The sequence below is a fragment of the Homo sapiens genome, chromosome 19 (genome assembly GCF_000001405.40).
Source record: "Homo sapiens chromosome 19, GRCh38.p14 Primary Assembly".
NCBI lineage: Eukaryota > Metazoa > Chordata > Mammalia > Primates > Hominidae > Homo > Homo sapiens.
In genome coordinates, this window is record NC_000019.10 from 16,768,597 (window position 1) to 16,782,623 (window position 14,027).

A 14,027-nucleotide genomic window follows, 5' to 3' on the forward strand; every position below is an offset into this window, starting at 1 on the left:
GAATTAAGACAGCTTAACAGGAGAAAGGGCTCACACATTTTAATTTTACATGCACAGAAGTTTCACAGAAAAGTGAAAACTCAAAGGAGTGTTTAGACCTGGGGCCTTAAATACCATGTTAACAAAGAGCAATAAATTGTGAGCTGAATTCACAAAGGAAGGGGGAGTATTCAAGATGCTTAAGTCTCTGTATCCAAAGTGCTTCCCCATGGATGTGAATAGGATGTTAAAAAGGATGACCAGTGGCCTGTGATTCCTATGCAGAGCTTCTAATCCTGGCCCTGCAAACCATCCTTGAACTATCTGCTTCTCTTTATTCTCCTGGCCATCAGCCCAGGGCCAGTGCTGCTGTCTCTCCTCCAGACAGCATCCTCGGAGGTCTGCCTACTTTGGATTCATTCTTACCCTTTGGTTTATTTTCCATACAGCACTCAGAAGAATCTTGAAAGCCCAAAACGGCCGGGGTGGCTCAAGCCTGTTATCTCGGCACTTTGGGAGGCTGAGGCAGGTGGATCACTTGATGCCAGGTGTTCAAGAGACAGGGAACAAAAGCTGGGAAAATTGCCTTATAAAACCATCAGATGGCCAGGTGTGGTGGCTCATGCCTATAATCCCAGCACTTCGGGAGGCTGAGGCAGGCAGATCACTTGAGGTCAGGAGTTTGAGACCAGCCTGGCCAACAGGGTGAAACCCCATCTCTACTAAAAATGCAAAAATTAGCCAGGCACGGTAGCACGCACCTGTAATCCCAGTTACTCGGGAGGCTGAGGCAGGAGAATTGCTTGAACCCAGCAGGCAGAGGTTGCAGTGAGCCGGGATCACACCACTGCACTCCAGCCTTGGCGACAGAGCAAAATTCCATTAAAAAAAAAAAAGAGCCCAAATCTCACTAAGTATCTCTATTGAATCTTCTAGATGGTTCTCCCATTGTCCTTGGGATAATGACCTTTCCAGTACTGTAGCCTACATGGCTGTGTATGACTCACTCTCCTGGGAGATGCTTGTCTCCATCCTTACTGCCCCAGACAGTGATGGAAACATCCAAGCTTGCGTGCCGGGGGCCCTGGGCTGGGACTCGCCTCCCCCAGCCCTTCTGTGGCAACTTTGGAGCTCAGCTAAATGCGATTCCTCAGAGAAGCCTTGTCTGGCCACCACTGAAGCTTAACTTCTCTATGTCTCCCCGATCCTTGCCTCTGAATTTTCTATCACTGCACCCTGTTTTCCATCTGTCTTGGCTCTTTTTCTTTTTTCTTTTTTTAGAGACAAAGTCTTGCCCTGTTGTCCAGGCTGGAGTGCAATGGCATGATCATAGCGCACAGCACCTTCAAACTCCTGGGCTCCAGTGGTCCTCTCACCTCAGCCTCCCAAGTAGCTGGGACCACAGGTGCACACCACCACCCCTGGCTTGTCTTTGCCTTTAATTATGATTTCTCTTGGTTTTCTTTTGCATCATCTGTCTGCCACATCAGACTCTGAGCTCCATAAGGCCAATGGCATCATCTGTTTTCTCCCTGCCAAATTTTTACCTTTAACACATTGATATGGTTTGGCTGTGTCCCCACCCAGCTATCATCTTGAATTGTATTTCCCATAATCCCCACACATTGAGGGAGGGACCAGGTGGAGATAATCGAATCATGGAGGTGTTTTCCTCCATGCTGTTCTCCTGATACTGAGTAAGCTCTCAAGAGATCTGATGGGGCTTTTTAAAATAAGGGGCTTCCCCCTTTGCTCAGCTCTCATTCTTCTCTCTCCTCCCGCCTTGTGAAGAAGGGCGTGTTTGCTTCCCCTTCCACCGTGATTGTAAGTTTCCTGAGGCCTCCCCAGCCCTGCAGAACTGTAGGTCAATTAAACCTCTTTCCTTTATAAATTACCCAGTTTCAGGTATGTCTTTATTAGCAGCATGAGAACAGACAAATACACACAGAGACCACAAATTTTGAGCCCCACCGTGTCCATTGAAATCTTGGCGCTGCCACTTCTTGGCAGTGTGACCTTGCAAACCCTTTACCATCCCTCCCCCTGCCCCACAGCCCTCAGTTTTCCCATCTGCAGAATAGGGATGCTGAGTGACCATCCCACCTAGGGCTGCTGGGAAGAGTACGCGCATCAGTTCACACAGAACCTCCACCCGTGTTGCCATCGAGGGTCCTGTTACTGTCATATGATAGCATTGTTGACATGAATAGCCTAGGATGAGCTATTTCTGCCCTGAAACCCTATTTTTGTCATCTGCAAAATGTGCAATTGAACTAAAATGTGTCCAGAACTCCACCCAATGTGAAGATGCTGGTGCCTGCAATCATTTATGCCTTTCTTATGCATTCACACAACCCCTACTGATTATCTGCCATAGCCCCAGCTCCCACAGGGACCTAAATATAGTTAATGTTTGTCTCAGCCTTTAAGAGAGGGAGATGGGGCCGAGTGCGGGGGTTCACGCTTCTAATCCCAGCACTTTGGGAGGCCCAGACAGAAGGATTGCTAGAGGGCAGGAGTTCAAGACCATCCTGGGCAACATAGCGAGACCCTATCTCTGTAAAAAAAAATTAATTAGTTAAAAATAGATAGATGGCTGGGCACAGTGGCTCACGCCTGTAACCCCAATACTTTGAGAAGCCGAGGCAGGCAGATTGCTTGAGGCCAGGAGTTTGAGACCAGCCTTGGTGACAGTGAAACCCCATCTCTACTAAAAATACAAAAATTAGCCGGGTGTGGTGGTGCATGCCTGTAATCCCAGCTTCTTGGGAGGCTGAGGCACGAAAATTGCTTGAACCCGGGAGGCAGATGTTGCGGTGAGCCGAGATCACGCCACCGCACTCCAACTTGCACGACAGAGCAAGACTCTGTCTCAAAATACACAAATAAATAAAGAGAAGGAGATGGAACAGCATACCAAACAACTGGAATTTAAGGCAACTGGAAAGAAAAATAACGCGAGAGGCGCTCGCCAGGAGTTGTAAACCTTGATGGAGCAACTTCCCAGGAAAACAGCCTTGGGCATGACTTCCCATTTTAAGGAAGATTTAAAAGCCCAGATCTCTCAGCAAGTTCCCTGCAAAGCCCCTTGATTGACAACCTGTGGCTCCCCCAGCACAAGGAGGAGGTGTAGGAACAAATGTTATCACCAGAGGGCGCTGCTGGACAACCATGTGCTCTCCGTACATCCAAGCACGCTGGCGAATGGGGACCATTCAACATAACATCCTAAATGATCCAACGCGATCACGAGTCCTTTTTTTTTTTTTTTTTTGAGAAGGAGCCTCGCTCTGTCACCCAACTTCTGCCTCCTGGGTTCCAGCGATTCTCCTGTCTCAGCCTCCCGAGTAGCTGGGATTACAGGCCTGCGCGCCACCATGCTCGGCTAATTTTTCTTAATAGCCCATTTTTTAATAGAACGGTTTTAGGTTCACAGCAAAATTGAGTGAAAGGTACAAAGATTTCCAATATATCCCTCCTCTGATCCTACTTTTATTGAAAAGGTTGAGTCTGAGCACAGTGGCTCACGCCTATAATTCCAGAGCTTTGAGGGGTCGAGGAAGGAGGATATCTTGAGCCCAGAAGTTTGAGACCAGCCTGGGCAACATAACGAGACCCCGTCTCTACAAAAAATAAAAAACTAACGAGGCGTGGTGACGTGCATCTGCAGTCCCAGCTAATATAGAGGCTGTGGCCGGAAGATCGCTTGAGCCCAGGAGTTTGAGGCTGCAGTGAGCTGCGATCGTGCCACTGCACTCCAGCCTGGGTGACAGAGTAAGACCCTGTCTCTAAAAAAATAAATAGCCAGGCGCGGTGGCTCATGCCTGTAATCCCAGCACTTTAGGAGGCCGAGGCAGGTGGATCACTTGAGGTCAGCCCAGCCAACATGGTGAAACCCCGTTTCCACTAGACACACAAAAATTAGTTGGGCCTGGTGGCGGGCACCTGTAGTCCCAGCTATTAGGGAGGCTGAGGCAGGAGAATCGCTTGAACCTGGGAGGTGCAGGTTGCAGTGAGCCAAGATCGCACCATTGCACTCCAACCTAGGTGACAGGCTAAAATTCCATCTCAAAAATAAATAAATAAAATAAAATAAAACAAACAAATAAATTAGCTGAGTGTGGTGGCGCATGCCTGTAGTCCCTAGTATTTGGGAGGCTGAGATGGGAGGATTGCTTGAGCCCAGAAGTTTGAGGCTGCAGTTAGCTTTGATCATGCCACTGCACTCCAGCCGGGACAACAGAGTGTGATAAAAGAGGAAGGAAGAAAGGAAGGGAGAGAGGGAGAGAAGAAGGGAGGGAGGAAGGAAAGGGAAGCATTCTAGGCAACCTGGGCAAAGGCTGGAGACTGGAAACAGCTGGGTGCCTCTGAAGCAAGGGTAAGTGTGTCTGGAGAGCAGAGAAGGAGACAGGAGCGGACAGCAGAGGCCAGTAGCTGAGGTATTGTGTCTTCTTTTGTTCTGGAGCCCCTGCAGGGAGCAGAGACTCAATTGGCAGGGAGGGTAGAGGGGGCTCAATCCAGGCAACTTAGTCTACATCCCTTTGTTGCAGAGAGGAGCCTCCTGTACACAGAACTGCTGGCCAGACTCCATTTCTTCGCCACCTCACATCCAGCACTGGTGGGACAGCTATGCCAACAGGCCCAGAGCTGGTTCCAGTTGTGCGCACACCCTGTGCTGGTGCCCCTCGGAGGATTCCTCCAGCCCCCGGGAGGACCCCTCCGGGCAACTCTCAGCGGCTGTCACAAAGGTGAGTCTCCCCAGCATAGCAAAAATCCCAGCAGGCACCTGCTTGCCTGGGGGCAGTGAAGGCCAGGTGTTTGAGGTTGTCCTCTGGGACTCCCCTGTGCTAGTTGGGAGGCCCCAAGCTTGCCATCAGAGCCTGCCCCTGCTGTCTCATGCTGAATCAGCTCTCTCTGCCCCACCTCAAGGGACTGTAGATGTCTCATATAAATTCTTCTAATGAGCCCGATGCTAGGGGGTGCCTCCAAGCTTCCCATCTCCAAGGGATTGGTGCCCATCTGACAGTTTCAGCTATTTACAAGCTCATGCTAGTAATTCTGAAAGCTAGGAACTGATGCCTGACAGTCCTCTGAGAAGCTGAAGGAACTGTAAGCAGCCCTTGGAATCCCAGAATGTAAGGGAGAGGAGAGGATTTAGGTTTTGCCATCCATTTGTCATTCATTTTTTTCTTCCTTCCATTCATCCAACCATCTATGCATCCATCCTTTCATTCACCTTCCTACTCTTCCATCCAATTACCCTCCCATCCATTCATTCATCTCTCTATCTACCTCCCACCCTTCCATTCATCTATCCATCCATCCACCAGCCTCCCACCCACCCATCCATTCATCCATCCATCTATCCATCCATCCATCCATCCATCCATCCATCCATCCATTAATTCACCTTCCTACTCTTCCATCCAATTACCCTCCCATCCATTCATCCATCTATCTACACTCCCACCCTTCCATTCATCTATCCATCCATCCATCCACCGTCCTCCCACCCACCCATCCATTCATCCACCCATCTTCTCTGCCACCCTTCCATCCATCTACTGCCCCATCCATCCATCCATCCATCCACCTTCCCACTCTCCCATCCATCTATCCTCCCACCCTTCCATCCATCTATCCATCCATTCACTCATCCACCCACCCATTCATACATCAGTTGTCCATTCATCCAATCATCTACCCACCCTTCCATTTATCCATCAATTCATCTATCAAACCACTTTCCTCTCCATCCATCCATCCATCCATCCTCCCACCCATCCACCCATCCATCTACCCACCCTGCTACCTTTCCATCCATCTATCCCCCATCTCTAAATCCATCTACCCTCCCACTCTTTCATTCATCTACTGTTCCACTGTTCCATCCATCCACCCATCCACCCATCCATCCATCTATCCATCTACCCTACCACTGTTTCATTTATCTAGCCCCATTCATCCATCCACCCATCCGTTATTCATCGATTCATCAAATCATTTACTCACCTTTTCATTAATCTATCCATCCATCCATTCATCAAATCACCTTCCCATCCTTTCATCCGTCCATCCACCCACCCTTCCATCCACTCACCCACCTACACACCTTTCCTTCCATCCATCCACTCACCCATCCATTCATCCATTCATTCATCCTTCAACCCTTTCTTTCTTCCTTCCTTCCTCTCTTCTATCCACCCATCAGTCATCCACCCCTCTACCCACTTATCCTTCCATTTTCTTCATCTGATCATCTTCCATTCATTCACTTACGCCTCCACCCATCCACACACTTAGCCATTCATCAACTTTCTCACTTCAATTTCATCGAGAAACTGATTCCTCCATCTACCCATCTACCTGCCCATCCATTCACCCACTCACTCATCCAACTAGCCACCTGTCTACCCACTCATTTACCTCCATTCACCCATCTATTTATCTGCCCACCCACAATCTCTCACACTGATTGTGAGACCACTGAGTTCACTTGTGGTTCAAATGTCAGAGCTCCTTACTGTGCCACATGACCTGGCAGTGAGAGCTGCACTCCCCAGGCACATTATTTTCAAAATAGAAATGCTAAGAGACACTAAGTACAATGCATGGAGGAGTTGATTTAGGGGCAGCCACTAGAATGCTGTGTTGAGGATTCTAAGACTGAAGCTAGCTTAGTGGGAAAGAGTGTGTATTTGTTAGAATATAGGCTCAGATGTTGTAAAAAAAAATGGCCAAAATATCAGTGGCTTAAATAAGATAGGAGTTTAATTCTCTCTTTTGAAATAGTTCAAGCAAAAGCAGAGGCAAGAGGGAGTCTTTAGGGTGTCTGGGACCCATACTCTTTCAGTCTGGCGCTCTGCCATTTTCAGTGTAGGGCTGTCCTCGTTGGCCCAATATAGCTGCTCCAACTCCTACCATCAAGATGGCATTCCAGCCAGTGGGGAATAGGAGAAGCAGATGGCAGGCCTCTTCATTTTAAGGGCACGACCTGGAAGCAGAACTAAATATTTCCACTCCTGTCTCATTGGCAAGAACTTGGATATCTCCAACTGTAAGGAAGCCTGGGAAATATGTTTTTATATTTTTATTTTTATTTTTACTTTTTATATGGAGTTTTGTTCTTGTCGCCCAGGCTGGAGTGCAGTGGCGCAATCTCGGCTCACTGCACCTCTGCTTCCCAGATTCAAGCCATTTTCCTGCCTCAGCCTCCCAAGTAGCTGGGATTACAGGCACATGCCACCATGCCTGGCTAATTTTTGTATTCTTGGTAGAGACAGGGTTTCACCATGTTGGCCAGGCTGGTCTCAAACTCCTGACCTCAGGTGATCGCCTACCTTGGCCTCCCAAAGTGCTGGGATTACAGGGTTGAGCCACTGTGCTCAGCCAGGGAAATGTGGTCTTTGTGCGGATAACTATGTACTCAGCTAAAACCTGTAGGCTTTTGGGTTTTATTACTAAAGGTGAGATGATAGAATGACTATGGGGGCACAAATCGCACATAGTGCTGTGATTGATTAATGATGTCTGTCATGGCACAGGCATAGGAAGTTACAGCTTAGCGTGACATTTTTCTCATCTCTGGGGCAGGGAAATGTTCTGTGTTTCAGATCCACTGTGCCCCGCTGTACATCCTCTAGTTCTGTTAAAGTTGAGAAAGTTCTTACCTGTGTGGACTTCAGTTTGTTCATTTTTAATATGAAAAGTATGGCCAGGCATGGTGGCTCACGCCTGTAATCCCAGCGCTTTGGGAGGTTGAGGCAGGTGGATCATGAGATCAGGAGTTCAAGACCAGCCTGGCCTACATGGTGAAACCCTGTCTCTACTAAAAATACAAAAATTAGCCGGGCGTTGTAGCGGACACCTGTAATCCCAGCTACTCTGGAGGCTGAGGCAGGAGAATTGCTTGAAACTGGAAGGCGGAGGTTGCAGTGAGCGGAGATCGTTCCACTGCACTCCAGCCTGGGCGAAAGAGTAAAACTCCGTCTCACAAAAAAAAAAAAAATGAAAAGTATGAGTTAATATTTCCAAGGTCACACAATGAGTGCATAAGAAAAAAAGTAAAAGGGGCTGAGCACAGTGATTTATGCCTATAATCCCAGCTCTTTGGGAGGCCAAGGCAAGAAGATCTCTTGGGCCGAGATGTTCAAGACCAGCCTGGGCAACATAAGGAGACCTTGCCTCTACAAAAAGTTAAAAAAAAAAAAAAAAAAAAAAGCTGGTCATGGTGGTATGTGCCTATAGTCTCAGCTACTCAGGAGGCTAAGATGGGAGAATGGCTTGAGCCCAAGAGTTCGAGGCTGCAGTGAGCTGTGATTGTGGCACTGCACTCCAGCCTGGGTGATAGAGTGAGACCCTATCTGAAAAAAAAAAAGAAGAAGAAAAGGAAGGGAAGGAGAGTGGGGAGGGGAAGGGAGGGAAAGGAGAGGGAAGAGGGAAGGAACTGGAGGGAAGGGAAAGGGAACTGGAGGGAAGAGGGAAGGGAAGGGGAAAGGGGAAGAAAGGGAAGGGGAGGGAAGGGGAAAGGGGAAGAAAGGGAAGGGGAGGGAAGGGGAGGGGAAAGGGGAGGGAAGGGAAGGGGAAGGGAAAGGGGAGGGAAGGGAAGGGGAGGGGAAAGGGGAGGGAAGGGAAGGGGAGGGGAAAGGGAAGGGGAGGGGAGGGAAGGGGAGGGAAGGGGAAGGGAAAGGGGAGGGAAGGGGAGGGGAGGGAAAGGGAGGGAAGAGAAGAGGAGGAAAGGGGAGGGGAAAGAGGAGGGAAGGGAAGGGGAGGGGAAAGAGGAGAGAAGGGGAGGGGAGGGGAAGGGAGGGGAGGGAAGGAGAGGGAAAGGGAGGGAAGGGGAAGGGAAAGGGGAAGGAAGGGAAGGAAAGGGGAGGGAATGGGAGGGGAGGGAAGAGGAGGGAAGGGGAAGGGAAAGGGGAGGAAAGGGAAGGGGAGGGGAGAGGTGAGAAAGGGATGGGAGTGAAGAGGGAGAGAAGGGGAGGGGAAGGAGAGGAGGGGATAGGGGAGGGGAGGGGAAAGTGGAGGGGAGGGGAAAGGGGAGGGAAGTGGAGGGGAAGGGGGAGGGAAGGGGAAGGGAAAGGGGAGAGCAGGGGAAAAAGGAGGGAAGGAGAAAGGGGAGGGAAGGGAAGGGAAGGGGAGGGAAGGGGATGGGAGGGAAAGGAAGGAGAGGGGAGGGAATGAGAGGGTAGGGAAGAGGAGGGAAGGGGAAGGGAAAGGGGAGGGAAGGGAAGGGAAGGGGAGGGAAGGGAAGAGGGAGAGAAGGGGAGGGGAAAGGGAAGGGAAGAGGGGGGAAGGGGAGGGGAGAGGAAAGGGGAAGGAAAGAGAAAGGGGAGGGGAAGGAAAGGAAAGGGAGGGAAGGGAAAGGGAAGGAAAGGAAAGGGAGGGAAGGGAAAGGGAAGGAAATGGAGGAAGGGGGAGGGAAGGGAAAGGGAAGGAAGGGGAGGGAAGGGAAAGGGAGGGAAGGGGAGGAGAAGAAAGGAAAAGAAAACAAATCCCATCTCCTCACTCTCTGTCCCGATGAGGTGGAAACAAAATTCTGTATTCTCAGAGCTTGACGGGCTCTGATTCAGCACCACCCATTTTACACATGTGGAAGAGGCACACAGAAGGAAAAGGACTTCCTTTCTTTACTCCAGGACATTCAGAAAGTTCAGTTTCTTAGTGTCTAGGCCCACGTTTTCTCCAATATATCTTGGCCCTTCTCTCTCTGCAGTGATATTTTAATCAAACTCCACCAGGCAGAGATCCTTGGGGTGTGTTTGCCCAATTCATTGGCAAATATATATTTTTTTTCTTTAGGACATCAGCCCTTGTTTTTCTACACCAGTTGAACTCAGAGATGTCAAAAACATAATCCTCATTCTCAGCCAATATAATTTCTTTCTTTCTTTTCTTTTCTTTCTTCTTCTTCTTCTTCTTTTTTTTTTTTTTGTTGTTGTTGTTGTTGTTGAGACAGAGTCTCCCTCTCTCACCCAGGTTGGAGTGCAGTGGTGTGATCTCAGCTCACTGCAACCTCCACCTCCTGGGCTCAAGTCATTCTCTGGCCTCAGCCTCCCGAGTAGCTGGGATTACAGGTGTGCTTCACTATGCCTGGCTAATTTTTATATTTTTAGTAGAGACTGGGTTTCTCCATGTTGGACAGGCTGGTCTTGAACTCCTGACCTCAAGTGATCCGCCCACCTCGGCCTCCCAAAGTTTGGCCTCCCAAAGTATTGGCCTCCCACAGTGCTGGGTGGCATGAGCCACCGTGCCCGGCCATGGCCAATGTGATTTTGTTTCTGAGTTTTCTTCAACTAAGGCAGGGTTTCTCAGCCATGGCATTGCTGACTTCTGGGGCTGAATCTTTCTCTGGGATGGGGTTGTCATGCGTTGCTGGGTGTTGAACAGCATCCCTGGCCTGCACCCACCAGATGGCAGTACTGTCCTTGAGCATCCTTGTCCCCATTGTGGCACCTCAAGATGTCTCCAGAAACCGATATGTGTCCGCTGGGTGAGCACTGCTAGACTAGACAGACACTTATGACCACACTGTGATGCAGTCCCCTTCCCTACCTAAGAGCGAAGTGAATGTCACAGGCCAGAGTGTGAATCTGTGCATCTGAGTCTGCGAATCTAATCCTTGCTGTGCAGCTTTGGGCAAGGGACCAAATCTCTCTGTGCCTCAGTTGTCTTATCTGTGAAGTGGGGGGCTCATTAGAGGACCCCATAGCTGAATACTTGGACACAGGAACTGAGATCATTGCTGTTGCCTCTGTGTGGCTGCAGGCATCACCGCCATGGCATGGGGTGTGGAGGAGAAGCTGCTGGTGATTGGCACCCAGGATGGCATCATGGCTGTGTGGGACATGGAAGAGCAGCATGTGATCCACATGCTAACTGGACACACAGGTGAGACTTGGGAAGTGGGCTTTGTGGTCAGCTTCCATAGTGAAAAGTTGGTTCTCAGAGCCCCTTCCCCACAGATTCACTTCTCTGTATTGAAACCCTGGCCTTTGTTCCTGCATCACTTAGCTATAGTTGCATAATGAACCATCCCCAAACACAGTAGTTTCAAACAAGCCATTTCTTTTTCTTTTTAAATATGGGATCTCACTGTATTGCCCAGGCTGGAGTGCAGTGGTGTGTTTATAACTCACTGCAGCCTCAAACTCCTGGGCCAAGTGATCCTCCTGCCTCAGCCTCCTGAGTAGCTGGGACTACAAGCACATACCACTATACCCAGCTAATTTTTTAATGTTTTTAGAAATGGGGTCTTGCTATGTTGCCCAGGCTGGTCTGAAACTCTTGGGCTCAAGTGATCCTCCCTCCTTAGCCTACCAAGTAGCTGGGATTACAAATTTGAGCCACAAACAAGCTATTTCTTTAGCTCACTTCCTGTGCATTGGCAATGCAGGCTGGACGCAGCTGGGCAGTTTTCTGCTCTCAGCTGGGCTTGCTCATGTATCTGCAGTCAGTCAGTGGATTATCTAGGAGCTGGCTGAATCTGAATATTTTCAAATGAGGCAACTCAACTTTGCTCCACGTGGTCTGTCATCATTCAGCGTCCTTCAGGTCTCTCATCCCCAGCAAAGGCAAGGTTTCTTTTTTTTTTTTTTTGAGACGGAGTCTTGCTCTGTCGCCCAAGCTAGAGTGCAGTGGTGCAATCTCGGCTCACTGTAAGCTCTGCCTCCCAGGTTCACGCCATTCTCCTGCCTCAGCCTCCCGAGTAGCTGGGACTACAGGCGCCCGCCACCATGCCTGGCTAATTTTTTATATTTTTTAGTAGAGACGGGGTTTCACCGTGTTAGCCAGGATGGTCTCAATCTCCTGACCTTGTGATCCACCCACCTCGTCCTCCCAAAGTGCTGGGATTACAGGCGTGAGCCACCGTGCCCAGCCAAAGGCAGGGTTTCAAGAAAACAAGTAGGCACTCACAGAATCTCTTAAGCCTGGACTTGGAGTTGGCACCTGGTCACATTCACATTCTCTTGACCAAAGGAATTCACAAGAGCAGTCCAGTAGGGAAATAGGCTAAATAGGCTTTCTGCCTTCTTTTCTTTTCTCTTTCCTTTCCTTTCCTTTCTCTTCTCTTTCCTTTTCTTTTTCTCATTCTTTTTTTCTGACAGGGTGTTGCTCTGTTGCCCAAGCTGGAGTGCAGTGGCACAATCTCAGCTCACTGCACTCTCAGCCTCCTGGGCTCAAGCAATCCTCCCATCTCAGCCTCTTGAGTAGCTGGGACTGCAGGCACACACCACCACACCTGGCTGATTTTTGTATTTTTTGGTAGAGACAGGGTCTCACTATGTTGCTGAGGCTGGTCTCAAGCTCCTGAGCTCAAGCAATCCTCTCGCCTTGTCCTTCCAAAGTGCTGAGATTACAGGTGTGAGCCACTACACCCAGCCTAGGCTTCATTTTTTGATGGGAGGAGCTGCAAAGTCACATTGCCAAGGATGTGGATCAGTAAGGGTAAAGAATTGTGGTCCTTTTTGCATTTGTCGACCTCAGATCCTAAGTAAGGTTGTTTATTTCTACATAGTCCCTTAACAGATATGGCTTATTTCTGTAATCAATTGTTGAGTGCCTGCTGAGTACCAGGTCCTGTTCTAGATGCTGAAGAGAGATAGACGAGGGTCGGGACTAGGATGGAAAACTATTCATTCTTGAAGACTAATCTCAAGGGTCCTCCCTTTGGGAGAGATGATTCCCACAGTAGAGTTCATAACTAGCTACCTTGTGCTCTCCTGCAGCTTGATATACATAGGACCACATTGGCTAAGACTACAGTTGGCTGGGCGTGGTGGCTTATCCCAGCACTTTAGGAGGCTGAGGCAGGCAGATCATTTAAGCTCAGGATTTTGAGACCAGCTTGGGCAACATGGTGAACCCACATCTCTACAAAAAATGCAAAAATTAGCCAGGCATGGTGGTGCACACCTTTAGTCCCAGCTACTTGGGAGGCTGGGGCATGAGAATCGCTTGAGCTCAGGAGATTGGGGCTACAGTGAGCTGTGATTACACCACTGTACTCTAGCCTGTGCAACACAGCGAGACCCTATCTCAAAAAAAAAAGCAAGACTACATTTATTTGTTGACCTGAGATCTTATTACTATTGTTTGAGGGCAAGGGTTATGTTTTATTCAACATACTCCATGCTTATTTGTTGAATAAATAAGTTAAAATATCCCATGTGTTTAAAAAATACATTTAACAGAATCAAGTCATCGAAAATTAGCTTTAGAAAGAATCTAATCTAGGCCAGGTGCAGTGGCTCACGCTTGTAATCTCAGCACTTTGGGAGGCCTAGGCGGGTGGATCACAAGGTCAGGAGATCGAGACCATCCTGGCTAACACGGTGAAACCCTGTCTCTACTAAAAATACAAAAAAAATTAGCTGGGCGTGATGGTGGGTGCCTGTAGTCCCAGCTACTCGGGAGGCTGAGGCAGGAGAATGGCATCAACCCAGGAGGTGGTGCTTGCAGTGAGCCGAGATTGCACCACTGCACTCCAGCCTGGGCGACAGAGTGAGACTCTGTCTCAAAAAAAAAAAAAAGAAAAAAAAAAAGAATCTAATCTAACCCTTTTATGTAATTAAGAAAACAGGTTGGGCATTTTATTTAATTAATAAAACAGGACTCACACCTGTAATCCCAGCACTTTGAAGATGGGAGGATCACTTGAGGCCCAGAATTCAAGACCAGCCTGTGCAACATAGCAAGACGTCACCTCTAAAAAAAAAAAAAAAAAAAAAAGTGTTTTAAATTAGCCAGGCATGGTGGTGTGCACCTGAAGTCCCAGCTACGTGAGAGGCTGAGCCAAGAGGATTGCTTGAGTCCAGGAGTTGGAGGCTGCAGTGAGCCATGTTTGCACCACTGTATTCCATCCTGGGCGACAGAGTGAGACCTTGTTTCCAAAAAACCAAACAAACAGAAAAATGGGTGGGGGTGGAGAAGGTCTAAAGAGCTGAATCAAATTTCTATTAGAGATGACATATTCAAATTTTTAAAAAATTTAAAGGGGTGCCCTAAAAGGCTCAATTGACAAGATACATAATATTATGACACAATCT

General features: G+C 48.7%; 1 protein-coding gene across 10 annotated transcripts in view; it reads left to right on the forward strand.

Moving 5' to 3' along the window:
• The window catches only part of NWD1 (NACHT and WD repeat domain containing 1), a 98,117-nt gene that overhangs the window by 48,750 nt on the left and 35,340 nt on the right, over positions 1-14,027 (forward strand). For all 10 annotated transcript variants that reach the window (XM_011527929.2, XM_024451466.2, XM_011527930.3 and 7 more), the window contains 2 exons: positions 4,530-4,727; positions 10,747-10,869. In XM_011527929.2, coding sequence (XP_011526231.1) covers positions 4,530-4,727; positions 10,747-10,869 — 321 coding nt within the window. The remainder of the gene's footprint in view (positions 1-4,529; positions 4,728-10,746; positions 10,870-14,027) is intronic.